Raw genomic sequence first — 26,890 nt, forward strand, 5'->3', positions numbered from 1 at the left:
AAGGACTTGTTATTATCTCAACTTTATTTTTCCAAGGCCATTGTTGCCTACAGATTTTGATCTACCAAGAGAGAAACTAATTAGAATCACTCCCAGCTGCTTGATCTAGTCCACTGAGTCGAGAGTCTCTTCCAAGTGTATCTGTACCAATTCATTTAGCCTCAAACAGAATTATATTCCTCTATCCTTGGTCTACTATTCTTAGCAAAATATACAGATTTCTGCTGTTAAAATTAATAATTAAAGAAATTCTATTAAATCTAATTCTTCCTTTTTGGGGATTTATTGTGCAATCGGGTGTCTGCAACATGTTGGGATAGTATATTAAATTGTTGCTTCTATTCTTTTAAGGAAGAAGCCCAACATTTGACAGGCCTCTGGATCTTGGAAGCAACAGATGTCACATTTGGTTGCTTGTTCTGACTCAATAACTGGATAACTCACAAACCTATCATCCTTGAGTGGACCCCTGAGCAAGCAAGGGGTCTTTAGCTTGTCTAAGCTACAGTGCAAGCAGCACTGACCTTAGCTTTTAGGATCCAGCATATCCAAAGAGCCCAAAACTGTCATGGCTGGTCAGAATGTTGTGTAAAGGCTACAGCAAGGCTCTACAGGAGAATCACAGTTGAGAACCATAAAATTTTGGAGCAAAACTATGTTCTCTTCAAGTAACTTTTCTTTTTCACTGAACACTTGAACATGGCCCACCAGAGACCTGAGCTGTTCCCCATGAACTGGAAGCTGTCTGATCCACAAAGCAAAAATTCATAATATATTGAGGATTATTCCATCATTAAGTGGAAGTGATTTGCAGGAGGTCTCACTCCAGAATGGTCTGAAAGCAATGGTAAGTTGAATAAACAATGAATAGCTCATATTCTGCTGCTCTTTTACCTCTCTGTTTCAACCAGCAACTATGACCTGGTGGTGAGTTCCCTATGACCAACTGACAGAGGAGGAAAAAACAGTCTATCCTGGTTTAAATATGCCCTCACATCAGCTGAGGGTGACAATTGCAGCACCTCAACCACATTCAGGAATCCCTGGAGGATTGTGACAGAGATGGGTATTCCCAGTGGTCCACTTTGACTGGAAGATGAGATGTCCAGAGGTGAGGCTTTACTCTGATTCATGAGCAGTGGCTAGTGTTTGGAGCTGTATGGTCAGGAATTTGGAAAGAATAAAACTGCAAGATTAGGCAAGAATCATATTGTTGGACCTCTTTGAATGGATCCAGAGTATGAGAATATTTGTGTCTTATGAGAATACTCACCCAAGGCCTTACTGAGGAAGATCTCAGGAATCAGGAGGCTGTGATCATCTGCTCTGGCTGAATGTCAGGCAGCCTCTTTCTCCAGTTACTCCAGCAATTGCTCAAAGGGCTCATTAATGAAGCGGCCTTGGTGGAAGGTGCAGAGTTTATGGAAGGATTCAGTAACATAAGGATGTACTCACCCAGGCCAGTCTGACCACTGCTAAGTGCCCAATTGACATACACAGAGGCCAAACCTGAGCCTCTGATGGAGTCAGCTCCTCAGGGGCCTGTGTACTCTGTGGTTGTGGATTATTTGCATTGGATCCTTTCCATCATGGAGAGGGCAATGATTTTCCTTACTGAAATAGTTGATTCATTCATTCAAAAATATCGATTAAACACCTACTATGTACCAGGCAGAGTTCTAGGTACTTGGGGTATATCAATGAACAAAGAGAACACAGTTTGTTGCCCTTAAGAAATCTAGTTTTTAGAGAGATGATATGCAGTAAGTGTAGTAAATCGGCAACGTTTGTTTCAAAGTATGTTTGAAAGTGATAAGCGCTATGGAAAGAAAGCAAATCAGGGTAATGGAGACTGGAGGTGCCAAAGATGGGGGGAAGTAGTTTCCAGATTTACATGTGCCTCAAAGCCTTGAGTCACCAGGGCAGACCTCAAAGCCTTGGTGGATATCAGGGAGGAAGAGCATTCTAAGCAGAGAGCAGCCCATGCAAAGGCCTCAAACAGGCATTTACCTGATGTGTGCAAGAAGCAGTGCAGAAGGCAGCGCTTCCTCAGTGAAGTGCTAAGGGGAAGAATGGCAGAAGACTGGAGGCAATGGGAGCGATCAGGTGGAGGCTTGTGGGCACTTAGGGCATCTGGCTTTCACTGTAAGAGAGATGGGGAGGCACTGCAGGGTTTTGAGCACAGTGACCGCAGTGCTGAGAATGGGCTGTGGGGACGAAAGGGAAAAAGAAGGGAGACACGAAGCCACCACTGTAACGGAAGTGAGCAGCACCTCAGACAAGAGTAGAATAATGGAGTGGTATAACGAGGTGGTCTTCTGGGTGTAGATATTTTAACTCTTTATTATGGAAAATTAAAACTTGCAAAAGTAAAGAATAGTATAAGCCTCCTCTTCTTCCCATAATGTACCCTTCACTCAGCTCCAGAAATGGTGCACATATGACTGATCCTGCTACATCTATACCTACCCACTTCCTACCCACCCTCACCTCATCGGGTTATTTCAAACCAAATCACATCATTTCATCTACTAATTTCATGTACGCCGAATTTACGTTAATAAGCTTTAATCTAATACTTCAGTATAAGCGCTGAAAGTGAATATCCTTTTGCTTTTATAAAAACATCACTACAATAAACTATCACTTATATCCAAAACACACAACAATTTCTTAATATTAGTATACAAATTTTTCTTAGTATTTCGTAGGTAGTTTTATTTTTTCTTAATTTGAGTCAGGATCCAAACAAGACCCACACATTCCTTTTGGTCGACATGTCTCGTCTCATTTAATTTATATGTCTTCTATTTTTCTTTTTCTCTTTTTTTGGGGGTGATACATGTGACAAATTCATACACTCATATAATTTGTAAAGATCAAATCAGCGTAGTTGGGATATCTGTCACCTTAAATATTCGTCTTTTCTTTATGTTGAAAATATTCTAATTACTTTTCTTCATTTTTCTTTTCTTCTCTCTCCCTTTCTTCCTCCCTCTCTTCTTTTTATTTCATTTTTTTCCCATTTATTTGTTATAGAAGCCAGGTGATTTGCCCTATAGAACTTTTTCTCAGTTTATGTTTTGCTGGTTGCAATCCCATAATGTTATTTAAACAAATTCCTTTTCTCCATGCATTTTCTATAAAACAAGTATTCAGTTAGAAAGACTTGAATGGATTCAGTTTTAACACTTGGGGCATGGATAATTTGTAGGTGGTATTGTACACTTCCATCAGGAGACCTCTAATATTTGGCTGCTGGTTTTTGTCAATTATTTAACCAGTAGGTGTATCATGAAATATCCATACAAATTTGTGGCTTCCTATTTCTTTTATTCCTTCTTCATTTATTGCAAGAATTATTCTCATATAAACTAATTAGTAACTCAAAGACACAGTTCCTACAAGAAAAGCAACCTTATTTCCTTTGAGAAGGGAATGGTATTTAGAGAATAAAACCTCTCTGCAAGGAGTGCTTATTGCTAAGGGGTTGGTAATTATTTCAGTGAACAGACGTAGGAAATATTTATCTTTTTTTAAAGGCAGAGTTTATTATGAGTTTATACTAATATTTTAAGTTCAAATTTAGTTTTGGAGAGTTGGTACTTAAGTTTTTAATTTTATATTTGTGTCTCTTTTCTCTAATGTTGCAAATCTTTGTCACTAATGACATTAACATAATTATCATTTGCTTTTGGAAGCGCAGCCTAGAGCTTGCATCTCCAGCTCTTCTGATGTCCTCTTTTAAATTCCTCTCTCTGTAAACCATTCCAGATGGGTTCTTTAATCTGCAACTGAATCCTGACAGTGTAAGCTGTGCAGGCAGAAGTGAAGGGGCTTTTCATTGTTTGCACAGTGCCTGTGCAGCCACTCACAGTTAAACAAACTGATGCAAGTGAGTCTCCAGTGAGACAATGGTTGTAGATGTATTAAGCAGAGATCCAGGTCACCCAGTCTTTTTCATCTCTGCAAATCCCAATTCACCAAAATTTGTGCTTCTGTTTTTCATAACAGTCCTTCTCTCTCTTTATCCCCCTTCTCTAAAGCAGACCCTAGGGAATACATTAGGTCAGGCCCACAGCAAATACTACAGGGTCTTCTCTTAACTGTGGATCCTGGTCATTTTAGTGAAGTCTTTCAGAGGCCATTCCATCCCAACATCAGAGTAGACGAATGAGTATTCCTGGGAGTGAATGCATATGCATGAGAAGAATTAGAAAGCTGGAATGAGTTGATCATTCCAGGGGCCGCAAGGACTGCACTGGGCCTGGGACTTTGGACAAGGGAGAAATCACATGAGTAGGACGTTCTCGTAACTTTTCATTCTCTTAACTTTCTTCATCCTTAGAGCTGATCTTTCCAGCTGAGTTATCTGGGTGTTGTGTCTTTACCTCAGAGTAGACAACTGAGACATCCTGAAATGGAAGAAAGAAGTGGAAACCGAGAGGGAGTGTGAGGCTGCAGGTAATGGTGGAGATAAAACTGTGGGGAAATGAAACTCACCTTATCCTCTAGAAGTGTCCTGGAGGTATTAGCTGTGGACAGAAAGAGAATCACTGGACTATGGGCATAATGATGCACTTAGAACTCAGTCTGTTAGCTGATGCCCTAGAGTCTGAGAGCCACTGGGCCCTGTCCACCTCATCCCCTCCACCTCATCCCCTAACATGTCCTGCAATACATATGACTTTCTGTTCTACCATTTCTTAACCCAGCCCTCTGCAAGTTCTTTTCAAGCTCCATTGATCCGTAAAGTCCTCCATCAATACCACACTAAGAAACCTCACACCCTTCCTCTACCAGATATTGAGAGATAATTTTTTTCTTAGTTTTAGTTCTTGCTTCTCTTAACTTACAATACTGTCATCTCACCACCCCCGATTGTTTGGCAAGTTCCCATTAGAGTACTCCATATGCATGCCCTGTGAGAAAAACTCTCTCCTACATTAACAAGTTCTAGTTCTTGATTTTTATTGCCATGATTTCCTAGAGTTGGAGCCAGAGTGAGAGGTAAGTTTAGCAGATGTGATTTGGTGAACCATGCATATTAGAAATTAAGAGTCTCAGAGTAAAAGGTAGAATTATCAGAGCAGCAGAGCAATTTTATGGAGAGAGAGAGCCTGAAAAACAGATACACTCTGGGGCACTTGAGGTTTCTCTCTGTTTCTTACTGTATTGTTACCATATTCTTACCCCAAACCTTTAGGGGTTACAGATATTTTTAATAATATGATGGAAGCTATGTACTCTCCCCAGAATAATGGTCATATGTACAAAACTTTGCATATGATTTCAGGGGCTTCATGTAAACCTTAAGGAACAGGTGAAGAAACCATTCTACAAATCATTAATAATTCAAGTGTCTGAAATGTAACTAGTCCATCAACAGAATGCTTGGCTTAAATGGTGTTTTGATAAATATGTCAAGGAAAGAGTATGAAGAAAAGCAAAATTATCAAGACAGCTTTATAAGATAAGATGTACTCAATCAACCCAAGAAAGGTAGTGGCCATTCTAATGCTGCCATTCAAAGGGGATCCTGATTAATGGAGGTGGCTCAGGGAACAAAGTGAAAGACAAAACAAGTGATCAGGTGATATATGTTGGTCAAATATAGTAATAGGCTGTGCATGCAGAAAATATAGCAAGACAGAAGACTTGGTCTTAGCTTTGTCCTTTACTGGCTTTGTGACCTTGAGAAAGTCCTTCTCTGAGTCTTATGTGTAATACTTCATTTTCATAGAACACCTTCAGCATCAGGTTACAACTAAAATTCCTAGATTTTAACTTCCCAAGTGAGGTGCCATGGGTGGATTTATACAAGAAATAGAGAGAATTGCTTGTTTCCTTGACTCTAAGAACCCAGGTTAATCAACCAAAGCAAGGAAGTGTGGGGAGGAAAAAAATAAGAAGATTGGTTGAAGCGATGTCTTTAGAAAGATGGATCAGTTTATGTCCAATGTGTCTCTGCTTTAGCTTTCTGAGGTGAGAGTAGCAGGTTATAGCCCCCAGCCTGGTGAAGGAGATCTCAGAAATTCCTCTTGAACTTCTGAAGTGATTTTGAAGTGATTTCCCTGATACTGGGATATAGAGCTCCCACCTCAGAAAGCCAAAGTGGACCATAGGTTGCAGTTACCTAGAGAGGTATTTTTCTAACAAAAGATCTCAATTTGTTAGTGGGTCTTGAAATGGGGTCTGAATAGGATTAAAGAAGTGAAGTAGAACTTCAAGAAACAATTCAGCTTATTGTGGCCAAAACGGACTAACAGGGACTGGATTTATCTTCCCATTTTAAACAATGAGAAAAAAGGACAAAACAGTGGTTTTCAGATATTGCACCAGTTTACCACTAAGCTGTGCATGGACTTGGGAGTTTAGAAAGAGCCTGGCTTCTGGCTTGAGGCCTTGCTGACTTGAAGTGACAGAGACCAACAGTTCTGTTTTACTGAAGCAGCTAGAATTTGTAGGACAGTACCAGAGAGACAGGAGGAAAACAGATCGAAAGCTCCAGAAGTCTGCAGAGAGTTCTCCTCAGGTCTTAGGCTGAATACTGATAGGCATATTTGTAAGATGAAAGTATCTTAGGCCGGGGTAAGAACTACCAGAAAAGAACAGGCAGAATAATACCAGAAGCTGATGCAGATTTTGTAATTAATGGACCATCTGATGTAGAGTCCCCAGAAATGCATTGCTTTACTATCAGGCTAGATTAACCCTACTCTAAAGGTTGCTCGAGACTTACCCTAACAAAGCTTAAATAAAAGCAAGCCTCAAAAGGATCCAACTCATTCCAAATAACTTACCTTGCTCCAATATAAAATTTAAAATCTGACAGTAATTAGAGGAATATAATACTGTAAAAATCACATTTTCTAGCACTTAATTAAAATGCCATGCATATACATATATGTGTATGTATACATATATATATGTATATATATTCTCAGCACAATGCTTACCACATAGTAGACATTTTACAAACATTTATTCATTCAGACCTAAGGGAGACCTTAGTACATACACTATAATGATCACAATATCTATCAGAAGGATGCTTAATTTTCATCCTGATCATCAGCAAAAGTATACTGTGTGTATTTCAGTGCCTATCTTCCCTCCTTAGAATCTAAGCTCTCCACTGCAGGGATTTTTGTCTGCCTTGTTTACTGATTGACTTCCCATACTTACAAGAATACCTAGCACATAGGAGGTGCTCAGTAAATATTTGTTGAATGAATGAATATAGTTTGCAGCCAGAATCTCTTCCCAAAGACGTACCTTCCTCTTCTTCTCCCAGCTGAGTAGTCTGGATCTCAGAGTATACCAAATCTCCCTTTTTGGGGTGTACTGGAAAGAAAAGACATTTTCAAGGCTGTTCCTGTTAGTATTAAAGTGCTACAGATGCCTCTTCCTAAGCATCATCTCCACTCTTCTTGGACACATAATGGAACAATTATCTGGGAATATCTGGATTTGGGACACTTTAGGGAGTCCAGGGGCATTTCCCAGGGCTGAAAGCGCATTATCTTTCCATGGCTGAGGCCAGGAACAGCTTCCTAGAAGGGAATCCTCACCATCAACATACAACGACTGAAGCTCCACCTGGGCAGGGCAGATGGAATGGGAGGACTCTCCTGGGCCTGGAGCGGGAGGGAGCCTGTGAGACACAGAAACACATAATAATCCCTGGAACACTGTAACATGCGGGAGAGTGAGATACCCAGGGAGAGCGGCAGAGGAGAAAGAGGATTTGGAGAAAGTCAGCAGCCAGTAGGGAACTGGAAAGCCTGAATGGTTTAATCAGAGTTTCAATAGGTCTATATAGAGTGAGACTGTTCTTTTTAAAAAAACCCTGGAGCTGTGGTATGGACAGGCTGCCTGGAAACAAGGTTAGGGAGTCTCTGACATCATCGTAACAATCATCGTCTCATAGTCAGAATGATTACTCTTGTTTGGTTAAAAAATACTGGCTTTCCAGCCTGGGCAACATAGTGAGACCTTGTCTCTACACAGAATAAAATAAAGTTGGCCAGGCATGGTGACATGCACCTGTAGTCCTAGATACTTGGGAGGCTGAGGTGGGAGGATTGCTTAAGCCTGGCAGGTCAAGACTGCAGGAAACTGAGATGATGCCATTGCACTCCAGCCTGGGTGACAGAGCCAGATCCTGTCTCAAATATATACATAATGGCTTCTTCATCATCAGGAAGTAGTGATTAAATGTCTTTACTTTACTGTTGGCCTGGTGCAGTGGCTCACACCTGTAATCCCAGCACTTTGGGAGGCCGAGGCGGGCAGATCACTTGAAGCCAGGAGTTTGAGACCAGCCCAGCCAACATTGTGAAACCTGGTCTCTACTAAAAATACAAAAATTAGCTAGATGTGGTGGCTCATGCCTGTAATCCCAGCTACTTTGGAAGCTGAGGCACAAGACTCACTTGAACCTGGGAGGCGGAGGTTGCCATGAGCTAAGATCGTGCCACTGCACTCCAGCCTGGGTGACAATACATACATACATACATACATACATACATACATACATACATACATACATAAAATGTCTTTACATTGTAATGTCTGTACAATCCAAGAAGGAATTAGACATAATCCACACTCTTATTCCTTACCTAAGACTGAGACACTGACATAGAAGGAGGAAGATGACAGTATTTTCCAAATGGAAGTTAAGCACATAACGTTTAATGAGTATATATGCGTGTATGGTGCAAAAAGAAGATTATTAGAAACATAGAGTTCTCTGGAAAACCTAGAACATTTGTAGAAAATCTAGACTCTAGTCATTGTATGCATAATTATAGTAACACATTGTCTAACTTAATTATAGTACAAGAAATATTCTGTACTTTATAACCTTTGGTATTATCCATTTAGATGAGTAGGTTAAGATCAAATAAGAAATCTATTATTTTGCATGTATTGCAAACTATTAGCTGACAAGCAAAGTTCTAGGAAGCTTCATTTTTGACAAATTCATGGAGTGTGAAAATGGAAGTATCTAGCCACAGGGCCAAAGAGGTATAACTTGACCTAATTTCATAACCCCACAGTTTTGCATATTGTGTACTCGGGAAACTAAAAAGGAATGGCAGAAACTGAGGTCTCACCTGGTTTCGTCTCCCAAGAAACCAACTCCTGCAAAATAAAGCAAAGACGCATTTTTGTCAGCAGAGGGAGCTCTTTCTCAATGACTTCATGTAACAGGAGCTATCTAAGAGAGGTAATCAAGACAGTCAATTCAAACACCTGCCCAGTCCTGGGTTTTCATGAAAATGAGGTGAAAAAAAGATTGTACAAAGCATATAACTTTTTGAGGCCAGGACTGCACACTCCTGAGTTAAGTATGTAATTGTCTGAGAATTTATTAAGACTCAAGTCTGTGTTGAAATCCCTCAGGAAACATTACATATAACAAAAGTGTCACTTGGAGAGTAGTGAGCTGTGGGTGAACTTCGAGGAACATCTGTGGCCATGCCCAGAGGAGCACTGGGCTCTGACTCAGCCCCACTAAGGAGAATTGGTCAGAGGTCCAAAGCTCCCTACCTCCAGTTCAATGCAGGACACACAGAAGGTGCTGTCAGGAATCTGGAAAGTTGAATTGAATTAAGAGACAGAGTTGAAGGATGTGGGTAATTATTCTAGAGCTGAAAAAGGTTCTGCTCCTGTCTTCTACACCAGGTTTCTTGGCATCTAAAGCCAGCCTGAGGTGGGCTGAGGCAAGAAGTCTTTGGAAGCACGCAGCAAACAGTGCCTGGGACAGACCATCTCCAAGAGGCAGGGGAGGCTGACCTGAGGAGAGAGGGGCCACTGGAGCACCAGATGGCAGGCTCAAGCCTGCTCAGAAAAGCCCCTGAAAAGCCAGACCCAGAAAAGCCCCTGAGGGGACAGAAGGATAAAATTAGCCAGCTCTTATTCTCAATCATTTCTGCAGAGCCTTTAGTTCATTCTGAATCTCCATTTATGGTGGATTTAGGATAGGCTGAAGTATCTAACTGGCCAGTCTATATGAACCAAAGAAACTGCCTAAGTAAACTGTTCAGATAAAGTTTTTGGAACTTTACATTAAAAATTTCACTCTTCCTCCCCTTCACTGAGACTTAGCCAATCAGACTAGATATGAGCAGCTCTCATTCATGGCTTCTGTTTGCAAAACTGCCCCTTAAGGAAGGGACGGACGTGAGTGTGTGTGAACGCTGGGAGTGGAGACTTGGGAGTGGAGACTTGGGAGTGGTGGCCTGGTGGCCACTAAGGCTGTCTGCATGCTGAGTTCAGGGGAAGGAACAGGGCAGGAACTGTGGCAAAGAAAAGAGCACAAACCTGACTTCCTCCGACGCCAGCAGTGAAACAGCAGGGCCACAGCCAGGAGAAGAGCACTGAGCAGCCCTCCAGTGGCTCCCGCGGCGACAAGGCCATCTCTGTTGCCTGGGGTCTCTAAGGGGAAAGGACCTGTGTGAATCTCAGTGGAGAGGTTCAGGGTTTGGGATTGCCTTTTCCTCAGCTTGGTTGGGTAACGAGCCCTGGAAGAGAGAAAAATCTAAAGGACTAGGTCTCATAAAGACATCTTGGGCCAGGTTTTGGCCAGAAAAGCTCACATTGGGTGGGCCAGGGCCTGAGTGCAAGAGGAAACAGCAGCTCCCTCTACCTTCAGTGAATCATTTTAGAAACTAACAATTTAGGGGAAATCCTAATGTTGTATTCTGGTAAGCTGGCTTCCTGCAAATTGCCCCCAGACACCTGGAGAGATACTGTGGGATCATGGCTTGGCAGCACCTAACTTAGGAACAGCAAACTGCCTGAGAGAGAATGAAAATTGCACCACTGATTATGGCACCAGTTGAACCAACAGTAACTCTGAGATTGCTCCGCATTGGGACACCACGATGAAATGGCATCAGCCTCCTTCCTCATAGAAGCCTGTGCCTGTGTGCTCTGAAGGGCAGGAGAGAAAAAAACGGATGGAAAAGTACACATAATCAATAAATTGTTAGGGGCTTTTGATATTTCCATGGGGTCCGTTCTCCTATCCTTTCATCCACGGAAAAGGAGGTTTCATTCAATTTACTTATTTATACAACAAATATTTACTGAGGCTGCCCTGTGCTGGGCATTGACCTAACCCTTGAAGACCCAAGAGTGAACAAGACGTTAAAGTCCCGGCTCTTGAGTTTATAACCCAGGGAGGGGAGACAAGCCATAAACAAATAAATAAATTTATACCGTGCCCTGTAGTGATGCGCTAAAGAGCAAAAAGCATGACAGAGGGACAGAGAGTGGAGAGTGGGGCGTGGTACTTTCCCATATGTATTCTTGGTCCCCAGGTAAACCAAATTCAGACCTCAGACACAGGTACCACAGAATTGACAGAGAACATGCAGGTAGTAGAACAACAGCAACACTGATCATGATTTCCGTTTATTTTCATCTATGATTTTGGGCACAGAGGAGCCATTGGCTAGGAGTGGCTGGTGACATTTCTGATATTATCCTTCCCTCCTCAACAATATCAACAAACCTGCCCTTTGACCTATGAGTGGTTCCACTAATAAACAGTATTCAGTGGACAGCCAGCCCAGCTTCCCAGCCACAACAGCTGAAAGAGTACGGTGGAGAGCAGGACAGAAATCTAAGGACAGAGAGGCTTGGCCACTACATCCTGTATTGAATCTTTCCCCATTGCCTGCTGGGGCATCCGCCGGTGCAAAATCAGAATCAGCCACACCCAGGCCTAGGATTCTAGACTCAAAGGGCAGAAAGCAAGTTACTCTACCTTCCTGGTAACCCTATTTCCTAAAAGAAATGGCTACTTTGGGGAAAGTAATTGAAATTTTGTCTCAGTTAGAAAGGCACAGATTCTAAATCCAGGTTGTTGGATTAGAATCCCAGCTCCTCAACTTACTCACTGTGTGGGCAGGGAAAATTATTTAATCTCCCTTTGCCTCAGTTTCCTATTTACTGTTGTAAATGAGTTAATACATGTAAAGTGCTTTGAACAGTGCCTGCCACTTAAGTGTTACGTCTAGGGAAATACTAGTTCATATTTTGTGGTCCTGACACCATGCCCTAGACTCTCAGGAAATTCAGGCTGCTCTCTGATTAGCTTAGAGGACACCTCCATAGGTTAAGCCTGCTCCCACACAGCCCTACCCCAGACATCCTCAGTCCATGCTATGGATTGATTTGTGCCCTTCTCCCCCAGATTCATACGCTGAAGCTCTAACCCCAATGTGATGGTATTTGGAGACAGGGCCTTTGAGAGGTAATCAGATTTAGATGAAATCATGAGGGTGGGGCCCCAAAGATAGGATTAGTGCCCTTCTAAGAAGAAACACCAGAAAGGTTGTGCTGCTCTCTCTCTCTGCCATGTAAGGACACAGCAAGCAGGTAGCCTTCTGTAAGCCAGAAAGAGAGCCCTCACAAGAATCCAAATTATATTAGTGCACTAATCCCAGACTTCCAGCCTCCAGAACTATGAGGAAATAGATTTCTGTTTTTTAAGCTCCCCAGTCCCTGGTGTTTGGTTATGGCAGTTCAAGCTGCCTGAGACAGCCCACCTTAGCCCAGTGCATGAGGCTACTGCAGAGTTTCTCTCTTTGCTATATATTCTCCTATTTCTAAGCACGGGGATTTTGCATAAAGTCCATGATTAAAAAATATTTAGGAGGGAATCCCTATTCCAGCAAACATCACTGGATCCTTGACGTTTGTTTAATCTTTGAGATCATCTGTTTCCTTAACAGATGTTGACACCTGCTTTCCAGGGCTGTCATGAGAATAAAATGAAATGATACATGTGAAGTGGCCAGTTCACTGCCTGGATCAGGAGAAGCTGATCCATTCTGATGATCTTAACCCCCAAAAGGAAGAGGAATAATTTATACTTACCAACAGATTCACTGTTATCTCCTCAGAGATTATAATCTTTGAACTTCCTGAGGTAAACTTTTCAGAATAAGAGCCTTCCTGCAGAAGAAACACCCTCTACCATCAGTGTTACTCTGGATTTCAGGGCATTCAGGAGTCTTTCGAGGGAGCCCTTGGCAGCTTGCAGTTTTGCTAATCCCTTCTTCCTCTCCCCTAATCTGATTCTTGAAATGCCATTGAGCCCTGGAATTCAAGACCAGACTGGGCAACGTAGTGAGAACCTTTCTCTATGAAAAATAAATTAAAAAAAAAATAGCTGGCCATGGTGGCACATGCCTGTAGTCCCAGCTATTTGAGAGGCTGAGGTGGGAGGATCGCTTGAACCCAGAAGGTCAAGGCTGCAGTGAGCCAAGATCACGCCACTGAACTCCACTCTGGACAACAGAGAGAGACCCCATCTTAAAAAAAAAAAAAAGTCATTGAAATGACATTAGCTCAGTCTCAGTCCTTCTCTGCTGGGAATTACACCCAGTGATGTTCCCAGACTGAGATGCAGATTGCTGTGGTACTTAGTTCTGGGGAAACACCTCAGTCTCTTAACCTGGTGGGCCCTGCTTGATCATAAGACTTGCCTCAAGGGAGTTGAAGGGAAAGTTGAGCCGCATCTGGGCCATTCGCATAGCAACCCCTTGCTGGAGCCTCTGACTAAACTGTTCAGGTTTATGGCTTTGACCGTCAGAGCTGACTTTGTATAAACAGTGCAGCTGTTTTTGGGGAGCAGTCCCCAAAATTTAGAAGTTGGAAATATTATAAGGATCTGGAAAGAAAACTTTAAAAAAGTATCTGCTGAATAGATAGAATACTAACAGGTTATGTCCCAGAAATTGAGCAGGAAAATGTTTCAAGAAGGAGGGAGGGATCAATTGTATCAAAAGCTGGAGGTAGGTCAAATCAAATGGGAACAGTTTTCCACTGGCCTTAGAAATATGGAGATCATTAGTAATTTTGGTGGAGTGAGGCAAGCCTGGTGGTGATGGGTTTAAGAAAAAATCAGGGAGGTAAGGAGAGTGAATTGAGGAGTTTTATTGTATAGAAAAGCAGGGAAATCTAGCTTTCCAGTAACTTAATAAAAGCTAGATTCTTCCTTTCTTTCCTCTTTCCTTTCTTTCCTTTCCTTTCTTTCCTTTCTTTCCTTCCTTTCCTTCCTTTCCCTCTTTCTTTCTTTCTCTTTCCTCCTTTCCTTCCTTCCTTCTCTCTTTCTTTCTCTCTCTCTTTCTTTCTTTCTTTCTTTCTTTCTTTCTTTCTTTCTTTCTTTCTTTCCTTCTTTCTTTCTTTCTTTCTTTCTTTCCTTTTTCAGAGAGACAGGAATACAACTAAACCTGAGATTGAGGAGGAATTGAAGCCCAGTAAAGACCACTTCCTTAGTGCCAAGGTAGCTGAGTGAGAACATAGCTTGGCCCAGTGTGGCTTCTCAGCGATGGAGGAAGAGATGTATATGAGCTAAACCTGTGATATCCCAAAGTAAGGCTTCTCTCCTCAATGGACAAAAGTGGGCTCTGTATCTGCTCTCCCTGCTTCTTGTGAGTTTCCTGACCCACATACAATTTGGCTGCTGAGAATCCCTCAGGATTCTATTATAGTAATGAAGTAAAGGAATGCCTTGTGCTTTTGGTTCTGTGGACTTGAGGCTGCAGGTCTGATGTGTGTGGTGTGTGTGAATGATTTACTGAAAGGAGAGGTGTAGTTGATACTGTAGGATGACACGGTAGGGTGACAGAGCTGTGCCCCACCCAGAAACACTGCTAATGAAGTAAGGCTCCTCTTGGAGATAAACACACAATGGACCCAAACACAGACAAACAAAATCACCTCCAAAAAGCAAAATGGCTCCCAGCCACCATTACCTCACTACAGGACCTTACTCTGACCTGAGTGAGTTATTACTATTCTAATGGAAGAAATTGTTTATCACAGTGGAGCATGGCAAAATGGAAACAGAAACAGCAGAGTCACAGGGTAATGTTAGCTATCCCCACCCTTAATTTGAGGAAGTTTGCTGAGAATAAATAAGGTCAATAGAGATTAAAACTCACCTCTCACAGTGACATTCAGCACCATGCTCTGGACAGGGCCGTAGCTGTTGTCTGCTGTACAGTAGTATCCCCCTGCATGGCTCTGTCTGATGGCAGGGAGCTCCAGCTCTGCTCTCAGGGAACGCTGAGTTTTCCTCCCCAGACTCTCCTGCATGTCCTCTCGGTGCCAGGAGAATGTGGTATCCCCTGTGCCTTCAGCCACGGAGCAGACAAGGACCAGCATCTCCCCTTCAACAGCCTGGCCCCCTGAGGGCTGGGTCTCCAGGAGCACCCCAGACACAGGGATCCCTATGTGAAAATGAGACCACAGGTGGGGGTCGGGTGTGAAGGAGGGCAGGGCTAGGTAGCTGGGGTGTTGGGCAGGGTTACTTTTTATGTGACTTCAAGATATACTCTTCAGCAGGCACTAGCATTGTGGCCAATAGACCACAGATTTAGCGCTGAGAATATCACTAAATGTGATAAGCTTTCCATCCTGATATACGAGGCCCCAGGAAAGAAAAAAGGACTAACCCTGAAGAAGCATTTGGGTTTTGTCTGACATCCTGGCTGGAGGTCTGAGTTGTTTTGAGGGGCAGGTAATAGCAATAGCAGCCATCATGGCACTAGGCTGGACCACATCTGTTTTCAAAAGTCATAATTTTGTACCTAAGTGATATTTATTGGGCCTATCTATCTATCTATCTCTCCTTCTTTTCTGCTGTACACATCATAGGCACTCACACTGTTCATTGCTACTGACCAGGAAAAGGTGGATGCTTGTCTTCTAAATAGTTATCCTTAAGATCTAGCCATTCTAGAATCTGCCAAATCCCTAGCAGGGCACCTCATTTTCTTGTTTTGTTTTGTTTTCCATAGCTCTCAAACCTAACTCCATGAGTCAGCTGTGATTCTGAAGTGATAGAATTTCAAAGGAAGACTGAGTTTTTAGGAAAATGGAGGTAGAAAAGAAGTCATGTATTTCTTTTATTATAGTACTGCACTTCTTGGCCTAAGCCTGGTGCCTCTGTCAGGATGATAAAACCCATCTCTGCTACATAGTCCCCATGCCTACAGAGCCCAAGGGGCAGAGAGAGGCAGGGAAGATGCCTGGCTCTCCAACACTCACGCTGCACATGGATCTGTAGCGAGGGACTGTGCTTGTGGATGTTACCCCTCACTGTTTCAGCACCACACCAATAGGATCCTGAGTTTTCTCTCCAGACGGTTGGGAGCTGGAGTTCCGGGTACGTGCTCCAGTCTGACAGGATGACCTCGCCATCTCTGAAGAAGTTGAAGTGAAGTGGGGTGTCTGACCGCTCTGGAGGAAGCTGTGTTTCACAGCTCAGGTTTACAGAATTCCCCTCTGTAGGCTGAGAGTCTGTAGCTTTCAGCTCTGGATGTGGAAATAGTTCTAGAGAGAAGAGGTAAGTCAAGTTCTGAGCACGAGAGTATTTAGGACTCTGTGAGAGACAGGTTTGGATGCTCAGTCCCAGGAAACTTCAGACACACAGCAAGACAAACTTATCAAGCCCTCTATCACAGTTTTCTTCTACAGGATTATTCAGGTCCAATCACCCCACTTTCTCTGCCTCTTAGAGGATTTGTGCCTCTCATCTATCCAGAGTTTCAATAGTAACCCGTAAATTCTTTCCTTACATGCTCAGTTTCCTATCCCTGTCATTACTAAGCAAATCTATATGAACTGAAAGATTCACCTTGAATTTTAATTATTTTGAAATTTGATCTAAATACATCATTCTCGTCTCCATATCCAATGCATCGATAATTGCCATTGTTATTTGAACTTGCTTGTGGGATAAGAAGATCCCAGCTTTTATTAGAAATGGAAAGAATGTTTCCATTCCAAGTATATTTCACAGCAGTCAATTTCTCTTTCCTTCTTCTGTGGCATCTCAGAACCAATGTGTCACCTTCAAACACAGAATATGGTGCCTGCAGGATTAAGGAGTCTGGAAAAGACACAGAGAGGAGATCGTCATTCAAAGCATTCCTGCTATCTCCTTCTTCTCTTGAATTACAAAGGCTTTATTGTTTTCTTCTTTCTTCCACAGGATGTAGTTTCCTGATCCAAGCTCACGAAACTCCTCCTAAATCAGTGTAACATGCTTCAGGTACAATTCCTAAATAAATCCCAGACTCAACTATTTTATCATTCAAAGTCAGATTCCAAAGATAAGGAGTCTAATACGGAGAATAAAAGCTGAGAGAAGGTGTGATCAAAATCTCTGACATGATAGAGTACAGCAGAACTTAACACCAACCTGCTCACCGAGTCTCAGAGCAGGAGCTATGAAAGAAGTGGCACTTAGAGAACTACATGAGGATCTCTTCCTGGACATTGGAGTGTGATTTGTAGCAGGATTCTTGTCAGAGACACAGTCTAGGTTGAAGGGACAGTGGATGTGGTCCTTTATGGGAATTCCATGCTGTTCATATTCTAATAATTCTAATTTGAGGTTAGCTATATCTCTTCTTTCTTAGATGACTGTGTTGAATGCCTACTCCTGTAGTCCGTGCCCTTGGAAGTGACCAAAATCATTATCCATCAGGTAAAACTGGACAGGAGGAGCTGTGGGAGCTTGATGCCAATCAGAGGGAAAACTAGGAATGAGGAAGGGACGCATAACAACGGGTGGGGATAAAAAGCATCAGGTTGGAGATTTCCCACCTCTGAGCTCCTTCGATGGCACTTTTGTCCTCAGCACATTTACATGTGTGTAATTTCTCCCTTATGAGGCTATAAAGCCCTGCAGGGCAGGATCTGAGACAGCTTCATTTTTGTACTCCCTAAAACTAACTCATTTTCTTGACTGTGTAAGTGTGTGGGGATGTCGATTAATATTAACCATTTAAACTCAAGTTTCAGTAGTAGTTTGAAAAACATTTGTAGACATTGGAGGGAAAATATGAAACTAAAGGAGCTGGGATCGAGGGTTAGAGAGGAATGAAAGACCCCAGTTCGTGGAATCTCCAGGGAGCTAAGATAAACTGATACCATTTATAAAGTTTCAACTAATTCACCTTCTTTCTCACCTGAAGAAAAGAGCAAGCGCACAGGGTTACTTCGTGGGGAGCCCCGGGCCTGGCATCTGTACAGTCCAGATTCCCGAACCTCGAGGGTGTTTCCTGGGGTCAGGGTCAACTTTTCTCCCCAGTAGTGCCGATGATACCATGTTGTTTTCTCTGTTGCATAGAACTGAAATCCATTGCAAGTCAGAGTCACTCTCTCTCCTTTGAAGAATGTGGTCCATGGAGGATGGACGGAAATCACAGGTTTGTGTGCAGCTGCTGAGGAGGAAAGAGTAATAGGTCTGAGGTGGAGGTGCCTGCAGTCCCAGCTGCAGTGGCTTGTGTGGGTTACAGTGGAGGACATGGCTTGGGAGATCCCTAAGATGCCCCCGGATGACTTCTGTTTACCCAGGTTGCAGGTGAGCTGTGCTCACCTCCTGCAGGGTGCAGTGGCTGCTCAGTGGTCTATAGCAGCAGACTGGCCTTTCAGAGGGGGGGCAGCCCTGGCAGGATCCACTCAGCAGTGATAGATGATGGGAGGCTCACAAACCCTCTTACTTGTTTCAGTGAACCAGGTCCTCAGGTAGATAGTTGGAAATTGCATTTCTCCTAGACTCTCACCTGGGATCTTGTTGTTACAGAGACCTCTCTAAGATGAGTTCTTGTATGTGAAGGGTACCAGAAGATGCCATCTCCAGATTTGTCTCTTTGGCATATGGATTATTTTGAGCTAAAGGCTATTGAGAATCACCAGAAATAGGAAAAGTCTAAAAGCAAGGCACAAGTTTTCCTTTATAAGTAAAAAAGGAAGTTTTCCCTTATAAAGGAAATTTCCTTTTGTAAATATGTCTCCTTCTCCCATACCAGGAAGAGGAAGACTCTTGACAACTTTCATCAATAGAGAAGGCATTGACTTAAATATGCATAAAAACCCTTGTTTACCATGTTTTTCCTAGTCCACCCACCAGAGCTTGCCTCCCCAACCCAGAAGCCCAAAACTCCTTTCCCTTTGTTTAATCCAAGATGGTATACAGGTTGAGTACACTTTATTCAAAACACTTTGGAACAGAAGGGTTTTAGAGTTTGAGTTTTTTTTCAGAGTTTGGAACATACGCATAAACCAAAAATCTGAAATATGAAATGCTCCAATGAGCATTTCTTTTGATCATCATGTCAGTGCTTAAAAACTTTCAGATTTTGGATTTCAGATATTTGGATGAGGGATATTCAACCTGTGTAAATCTCAATCATCTGGCTGCCTCCTTGAGCCATTTTTTTTCTTTGTAAATTCCCCTGTGTATGTACATAATTAAAACCTTTTTTCACTTGTTAGTCTGTCTTTTTTTTTTTTTTTTTTAGACAGAGTCTCACTCTGTCACCCAGGCTGGAGTACAGTGGCATGATCTCGGCTCACTGCAACCTCTGCCTCCCAGATTCAAGCGATTCTCCTGCCTCAGCCTCCTGAACAGCTGGGACTACAGGCAAGTGCCACCACACCCAGCTAATTTTTTGTATTTTTAGTAGAGACAGGGTTTCATCTTCTTAGCCAGGATGGTCTCTATCTCCTGACCTCGTGATCCACCTGCTTCAGCCTCCCAAAGTGCTGGAATTGCAGGCGTGAGCCACCATGCCCCGTCTAATCTATCTTTTATCAGGTTAATTTATGGGCCCCAGAAAATTAACCTGTAGGAATCAAGAGAACCTTTTTCCTTGCCCTCTTAAGGTTTGCTGAAAAGTCAACTGATGAAAAGCAGATTCATAGGAGAAATGGCCTACAAATTTATTAACATGTACAAGGAAGAATTACAGAGTGGTTCCCCAAATATACCAATAAGGCCCAGATACTTACACAGCCATTTTTAGAGGGGAGTGGGGAGAGGGGGAATGTAGGTAACTCTTTTGAAGGGCAATAAATAATGACTATGGTGAATTAATGGATAAATGGTTCTATTTGGAAGATGAATGCGCCTGAAGGATAGATATTTTGTTGTGATAGGGTCTGTTCAGGTGTGGTTACACCCGTCAGTCTTCTTTCCTAAAGTAGAGAGAAGGGAAGAACAACTGTTCTTACTGGTGGGTTGGTTTGGTCTTTAGGTGGATAGGGAAAAGTTTCTTCTGTTGATCTTTAAAGGCCTTTAATTCAAAATACTAGTTATACCAGGTGGCCATATTTTGGGGTGAAATATTTTGGTTTTCTTTAAACCTAACATAGATAGAGGGAAATTTTTTCCCTCCCATACATGTAGCATGAGCATGTGGTGGGACAGGGGTTGTAGATGGAGTGAATATAGAAATTGGGAGGTCAATTAGACAGTTATGGAAAGGGATTTAAGTTATATTTTTACTGACAATAAATATATATGGGAGAGGTAAGCAGGCTCTGTTTGTCATAAGAAATATATCCAGATAGTTGCAGACAATAAGAGTGTGGGGAGGTAGGTGCTCCTAACTTCCCAGACCTCAAAGGCACTCTCTTGTGACAGTAAAATACTAACCCTACATGAAAGTAGGCCCTAAAATCTTTGAAGCATTTGTGGATAGAAACTGAAGAATTCAAGGATAATGCAAATTAAAAATAAGAGGCTTAATTCTCCCTGCCAAAAGTAAGTGACTTCTCTTCCTCTTTCAGAATTTCTTTCTCTGTCCTTTTCAAATGCATGTAAATGTTTACACTGGTTAAATAACCAAAACAGCATGGTACTGGTACCAAAATAGATATATAGACCAATGGAATGGAACAGAGGTCTCAGACCTAACACCACACATCTACAACCATCTGATCTTCAGCAAACCTGACAAAAACATGAAATGGGGAAACGATTCCCTATTTAATAAATGGTGCTGGGAAAACTGGCTAGCCATATGTAGAAAGCTGAAACTGGATCCCTTCCTTACACCTTATACAAAAATTAACTCAAGATGGATTAAAGACTTAAATGGAAGACCTAAAAACCATAAAAACTCTAGAAGAAAACCTAGGCAATACCATTCAGGACATAGGCATGGGCAAAGACTTCATGACTAAAACACCAAAAGCAATGTCAACAAAAGCCAAAATAGACAAATGGGATCTAATTAAACTAAAGAGCTTCTGCACAGCAAAAGAAATTATCATCAGAGCAAACAGGCAACCTACAGAATGGGAGAAAAATTTTGCAATCTACCCATCTGACAAAGGCTAATATCCAGAATCTACAAAGAACTTAAATTTACAAGAAAAAAAAACCCATCAAAAAGTGGGCAAAGGATATGAACAGACACGTCTCAAAAGAAGACATTTATGTAGCCAACAGACACATGAAAAAATGCTCATCATCACTGGCCATCAGAGAAATGCAAATCAAAACCACAATGAGATACCATCTCATGCCAGTTAGAATGGCGATCATTAAAAAGTCAGGAAACAACAGATGCTGGTGAGGATGTGAAGAAATGGAAAGGCTTTTACACTGTTGGTGGGAGTGTAAATTAGTTCAACCATTGTGGAAGACAGTATGACAATTCCTCAAGGATCTAGAACTAGAAATACCATTTGACCAAGCCATCCCATTACTGGGTATATACCCAAAGGATTATAAATCATGCTACTATAAAGACACATGTACACATATGTTTATTGTGGCACTGTTCACGATAGCAAAGATTTAGAACCAACCAAAATGTCCATCAATGATAGACTGGATTAAGAAAATGTGGCACATATACACCATGGAATACTATGCAGCCATAAAAAATGATGAGTTCATGTCCTTTGTAGGGACATGGATGAAGCTGGAAACCATCATTCTCGGCAACCTATCACAAGGACAGAAAACCAAACACCGCATGTTCTCACTTGTAGGTGGGAATTGAACAATGAGAACACATGGACACAGGGCAGGGAGCATCACACACTGGGACCTGTCAGGGGTTGGAGGGCTGGGGGACAGATAGCATTAGGAGAAATACCTAATGTAAATGACAAGTTGATGGGTGCAGCAAACCAACATGGCACATGTATGCATAGGTAACAAACCTGCATGTTGTGCACATGTATCTTAGAACTTATAGTATAATAATAATAAAAAAATAAGACTATTGCCTGGCTCACAACCCAGGGAAGTCCTGGGAACCACCTTTTTGAATACAAACATCTAGAGAGATAGTTCCTCCGTCTCTCTCAGTTCCTGTGGGAGAGTAAGGACCTAACTTTGGTGGGCTCAGCTTTCTCCAATGTGCTAAACTACCTGCTGTTGTAAAGACAGAAGTTTGTTTCCCTTCAGTTACTTAAGACAGGTTGTCTCGCCAGTTACCAGGATAAAGTTAAGATGAACTAGTAGAAGAAAAGTTGCTGTCAGGCCCTCTTACTTGAGGCCTAGTTATTGTTTATCTTGAAAACATGTATGCATGGGCTGTATCTAATTGGCTGTATGAGGGGGTGGAATTCCTTTCTGACTTTGCAGCTTCTTAGTGGGTTGTCTGTGATGCTCATCATATTCTGGCTTATTGTTGTTCAATAATACCTACTTTCTCTACTACCGTTGTAGAGAAGATTTCTGAGCTGGGAGGAGATTTTGTTTTTAATTATATATCTTCTAAGAAGAAACTGTTTCCGAGGCTCTTTTTAATCTGAATGTTTATTTTCTGAGTTTTGTAGTTCTGACTTTGTGCCGGCTAACAACAAAAGTAACTACAACACAAATTATTCACTATTAGAAACATTCACTCAAACGTCCTTACCAATATAATACTACTATCTAGCCTTCTCCAAGATAAGTGCTTTGGTAGGCTAATCTTTCAATGGGTGTACAAATGAAAATTGATTGCTATTTTAGATTCTGTTGAAGATGCAGTAATTTATAAACTCGGTAAAAGTTATGTGGAACCACTGCTCTGATGAGTCATAAAATCACTAAAGAGTATGGCAGAGCAAGACCTATTAACGATTATGAAGGAGAAATCTATAATAGGGAAAACACTTGTTTGGCTCTCAAAAGTCAGTCCCAATGCTCTTCTCTCTAACCTTCTGCCCACTAATGTGTTTGAAAAAATGAAGTATTAACTTTCCCACCTACATGATCCAGGTCTGAATAAAGGGATGTCAGAGAAATAATGCTAGGGATGGACTAGGGAATAGGGATTCTGGGAAAATCTTCTTCCTTTATTTGAAAGAAGAGATGCACACTGGGTGCTCTTTGACAGCTTCACTTCCCTTCTCCACCTGTCTCCCTACTTCTCCCCATTTTCTGCCTTGAACAAAGTCATGATGCCTGGAGCTGTGGCAGCTACCACATTTTGAAAAGTCAATATTAGATTCATGCTTTGCCCTACAAATTGCCTGTGGTAATGTAACTTCTGTGAAGTAGAAAATAAAACAAATTGTTTTCATTTGTATTAATTTTCAAAAATAAAATCTCAATTTTGGGGATTGCTATTTACTATGAAATTTTTAATAGAATAAATTATTTTCTCCTTGGAACCTTTTTTACTCAGATGAGGACTGTCTACATTTAAAGATTTTCAGGCAATTACTTTTTTAAAGCTTAAAACTTTAAACATTCTTGCCTTTGCCCAGAAGAACTTCCCAAATAGATCTTTTAGTTACATCTAAATGTGAAGAAAATGCCCTTCCTCTGTTTGAGGGGAAAAAGAAAATTGTAAAATAACCCAACTGCATGTTTTACATGAAGAAGCTAAATGTTCTGTTTGGTAAGGTGAAACATCTCTGTGTCTCTGCAGAATTTATTTTATTTTATTTTTCAGATAGAGTCTTACTCTTGCCCAGGCTGGACTGCAGTGGCCTGATCTCAGCTCATTGCAACCTCCACCTCCTGGGTTCAAGTGATTCTCCTGCCCCAGCCTCCTGAGTAACTGGGATTACAGGCATGTGCCACCACAACCGGCTAATTTTTTGTATTTTCAGTAGAGATGAGGTTTCACCATGTTGTCCAGGCTGGTCTTGAGCTCCTGACGTCAAGTGATCCACCCACCTCAGCCTCCCGAAGTGCTGGGATTACAGGCATGAGCCACTGTGCCCAGCCTCTGCAGACACTTTTTAAAAAGAAAATTCTGTCTTTAAAGGTTTGGACAGAATACTCTATGTCATCAGTGGGAATGGGGCTGTGTTTCTGCTGAAGAGAATAGAAAACCCTACCAGCTATATTCCTGGGAAGCACCTGGATGCAGGGCCATTGGGACTTAGGCAATAGGTCTTCTACTGGAGGGAAGGAGAGTTGATTTCCTTTGATGTATGCAACTAGACTCTTCTTTGCTCTGAGGAAGCTGCCCCTGCTATGTGCAGGTGGCCCTATGGCCAGGAAGGGACATAACTTTTCATGGCCTTCGTGTGTTTGAGACTGAGTTGATGGGCTCTGAGGTTAACCACATCCCTAGCTGCAGTTAATTCAAGGCACTTTTTGTATTTCATTTCCCCATTCTAGAACCATTAGCAAAGTCTGCCAAGTTATAATCTTGTCTCAGGAAGGGTGTGTGGGAAATAGTCTGTGTCCAAGGCACCGAGGAGGGGAAGAACAGCAGAGTTAGGAGCTGCAAGAGACAGTGCACCTCAAGGGGGCCAAGGCCCTTGCTGGCTCCAGCAGCTCCTAGGGTGCTCTATAGGAATGGCCAAAACACCTGTGAGGCAGCTGCCTATAGAGGATGGGACTTTTTGCTGACCAGTAGGATAGATGGAGACTCAGAGTCATCATAATTTGAGCTATTAACAGAGAAGTGTGTCTCCATGGGATGCAGAAGTTGGGGATAAATTTGTTACACATGGTTAGTGGAAAAGCTGCTGGAGCCCCAGCCTCCCCCTCTGAAGTATTGGCTTATTTCTACCCTTTTCCTCTTGGGATGCTATGCATTCCATCAGGCTTGGCTAGAATCCCACATCAGGCGGGGTGACAGCTCCTCTTCCTGTGGACGCTGTGACACATATCCCAGGCCCTGCCATGTTTAGCCAGCACAATGGCAGTTTTGGTTTAAGAGAGTCACCCCCAAATAGCCTGGTTCTTAGGGTCAGAGTCACCACACGAGCTGATGTCTCTACATCCCTGCAGCACTCAGGAAAAGGATGAAATGGACAACAGGGACTCTTGTAAGTATTTGAGATAAAATATAGTTATTAGGGTATCTAGAGACATAAAGGAGCAAAGAAAATAAGGACTTACCAGATTGTCCACAGACTGGAGCTGAAAGAGAGTAAAGAGCCAGCCATCAGCGTAGGCGAAGAGTCCCGAACTATTCACCCTGAGAGCCCATACACTCATATGCTACTTCCAACCAAGAGGAAGAGAAACACGTTCCATTCCATCCATCCCAGGGAAGCGGGGAAACACAGTGGCCAGACGCTCAGGCTGTGGACTCAGACAGTCTGGTTTGAATTTTAGCTGTATGACCCAGGGCAAACCACATGAACTTTCAAGTCTCAGTTTTCTCATTTGAAAAATGAGGCTCATGAAAGCGACCTCATAGTAATACTGTAATGAGTTAGATCAGTAAGGTTTCAATTAATGGCTGCTGTCATTAATTTTTTAGTATGGGGCTGCTGCTGATTCCTCTTCTCTTGACTCAGAACACTTATTATCATAGCTAATTTGGAACTCAAAATGAGACAGACAGTAGAGGGTAGTAGTTAAAAGCCTAGTTTCCAAAGTTAGATTATGGGTTCGAATCCTGACTCTGCCACTGTACTAGCTGCATAAACCTCAGGGACAAGACCAACATCTTTGTGCCTTCATTTCCTCATTTGTAAATGGGAGTTATAAAAGTTCCACCTGATCAAATGTTAGAGAATTGGATACATTTATACATGGGGTGCCCTTAGAAAAGTGGGATGTAGCCAGGGCTTAGCACAAATTAACTGACATCCTCACACATTATCCTGTAACTATTTGTGTAATATTTTTCTCATATTGTCGAGTCAGATGTTCTTGCATGTGTACGTTGAGGTTCTATTGAGAATGTCACCTCTTGAGGGCAGAATCTGTGTCCTTCAGGTCTCTGCATCCTCTGTGGTGCCCAGCAGTGTGGCATGCCAAGTATACCCATCCACTCACTCCTTAGTTCCTATCATGTGCCAATCACACTAATAGGTCTTCCCTTAGTTGGGGTCTGGGGATCAGGTGGGAACTAGACAAATACGCTTAATAAATATTTAATGAACAAAAGACTGACTGTTCTTTAATTCCCTAGTTTGAGCAACTAGGAAATCCGTGCCTCATTTGGACAAACACTGACAAGTGGTACAAAAGCAGGAAGAAAAAAATCAAAGGGAAATCATCTTATCTCTTCTCTTCTCATGCTCTTTGCAAACATCAGAACAGGTTTGAACTTAGAATACAGAGAAGGAAATAACTATTCTCAGCAGGTGATCCTTTCTACCTGAGTTCACAATCAGGACTTTATCCTTCACAAATAACTCAGTCCATCTTTTCCTCTGGGTCCTCATGCTCTGTGACGTAGGGACTGAACCTAGCCATAGGTTTCTTTTTGCATAAACAAAATAAGTCCATTTGGGGGTAAAATGATTTTCCATAGGCAATTCATAGCAAAAATAGATGAGAAATACATCTTTGGAAATCAATTATTATCATTTTCCCCTTCTACCAGTAAATCATTATCTTTCCTTTTTGTTCATTTTCTGCTGTTCTAAAATGGGAGTAAAAATCCATGATTGCAGCAGCAGAAAAGAGGGCTTTTGCTCATGGTGAGGCTCAGCTTTGCAGCAAGCAAAGGTCTCCTCCCCATCACTTACCAAAGGCCAGCAAGGACGCCCACAGCAGCATGGAAGCCTGCTCCAGGATTGGAGAAGGAGTTCTGAGGAGACAAGCCAGGTCAGCCCAGATTGCCAAAGCAGCACTTGCCTACACCAGCACCAGCAGTGAGCTCAGTAAGCTTCTTCTCTGCATAAAGCTGATTGAGATAAT

General features: G+C 42.2%; 1 protein-coding gene across 2 annotated transcripts, besides 1 other annotated feature; it reads right to left on the minus strand.

Moving 5' to 3' along the window:
- Positions 1-2,551: 2,551 nt before the first annotated feature.
- On the minus strand, positions 2,552-26,890 carry FCRL4 (Fc receptor like 4). 2 transcript variants are annotated; one of them, XM_011510034.2, is made up of 12 exons: positions 26,719-26,890; positions 25,133-25,153; positions 18,009-18,260; positions 16,670-16,924; positions 16,081-16,365; positions 14,973-15,260; positions 10,336-10,449; positions 9,126-9,153; positions 7,575-7,657; positions 7,279-7,347; positions 4,504-4,535; positions 2,552-4,415 (listed from the first exon to the last, which is right to left on the minus strand). In XM_011510034.2, exons 1-12 carry the CDS (start codon positions 26,747-26,749, stop codon positions 4,329-4,331), a joined length of 1,545 nt encoding a protein of 514 aa, XP_011508336.1. In that variant the 5' UTR covers positions 26,750-26,890; the 3' UTR covers positions 2,552-4,328. The 2 variants fall into 2 exon arrangements, with proteins under 2 accessions (XP_011508336.1, NP_112572.1); NM_031282.3 differs by having other exon boundaries at positions 18,009-18,263.
- Positions 15,911-17,110: an enhancer, noted in NCBI's record as "CDK7 strongly-dependent group 2 enhancer chr1:157556896-157558095 (GRCh37/hg19 assembly coordinates)". NCBI's record gives its function as "activates an origin of replication core promoter dependent on BRD2, BRD4, P300/CBP, MED14 and CDK7 cofactors, with strong dependence on CDK7, by STARR-seq in HCT116 cells {active_cell/tissue: HCT116}" and the evidence as "EXISTENCE:reporter gene assay evidence [ECO:0000049][PMID:35650434]".

This window comes from Homo sapiens, chromosome 1 (assembly GCF_000001405.40).
Source record: "Homo sapiens chromosome 1, GRCh38.p14 Primary Assembly".
Taxonomy (NCBI): Eukaryota; Metazoa; Chordata; class Mammalia; order Primates; family Hominidae; genus Homo; species Homo sapiens.

Excerpts from the sequence above, each read along its gene's own strand:
- FCRL4 (NM_031282.3), bottom strand. The coding sequence starts at position 26,749 with ATGCTGCTGTGGGCGTCCTTGCTGGCCTTTG. Across the intron at positions 25,154-26,718 it reads GGCGTCCTTGCTGGCCTTTG|CTCCAGTCTGTGGACAATCT; the intron begins GTAAGTGATGGG and ends ACTCTCTTTCAG. Across the intron at positions 18,264-25,132 it reads TCCAGTCTGTGGACAATCTG|CAGCTGCACACAAACCTGTG; the intron begins GTAAGTCCTTAT and ends TTTCCTCCTCAG.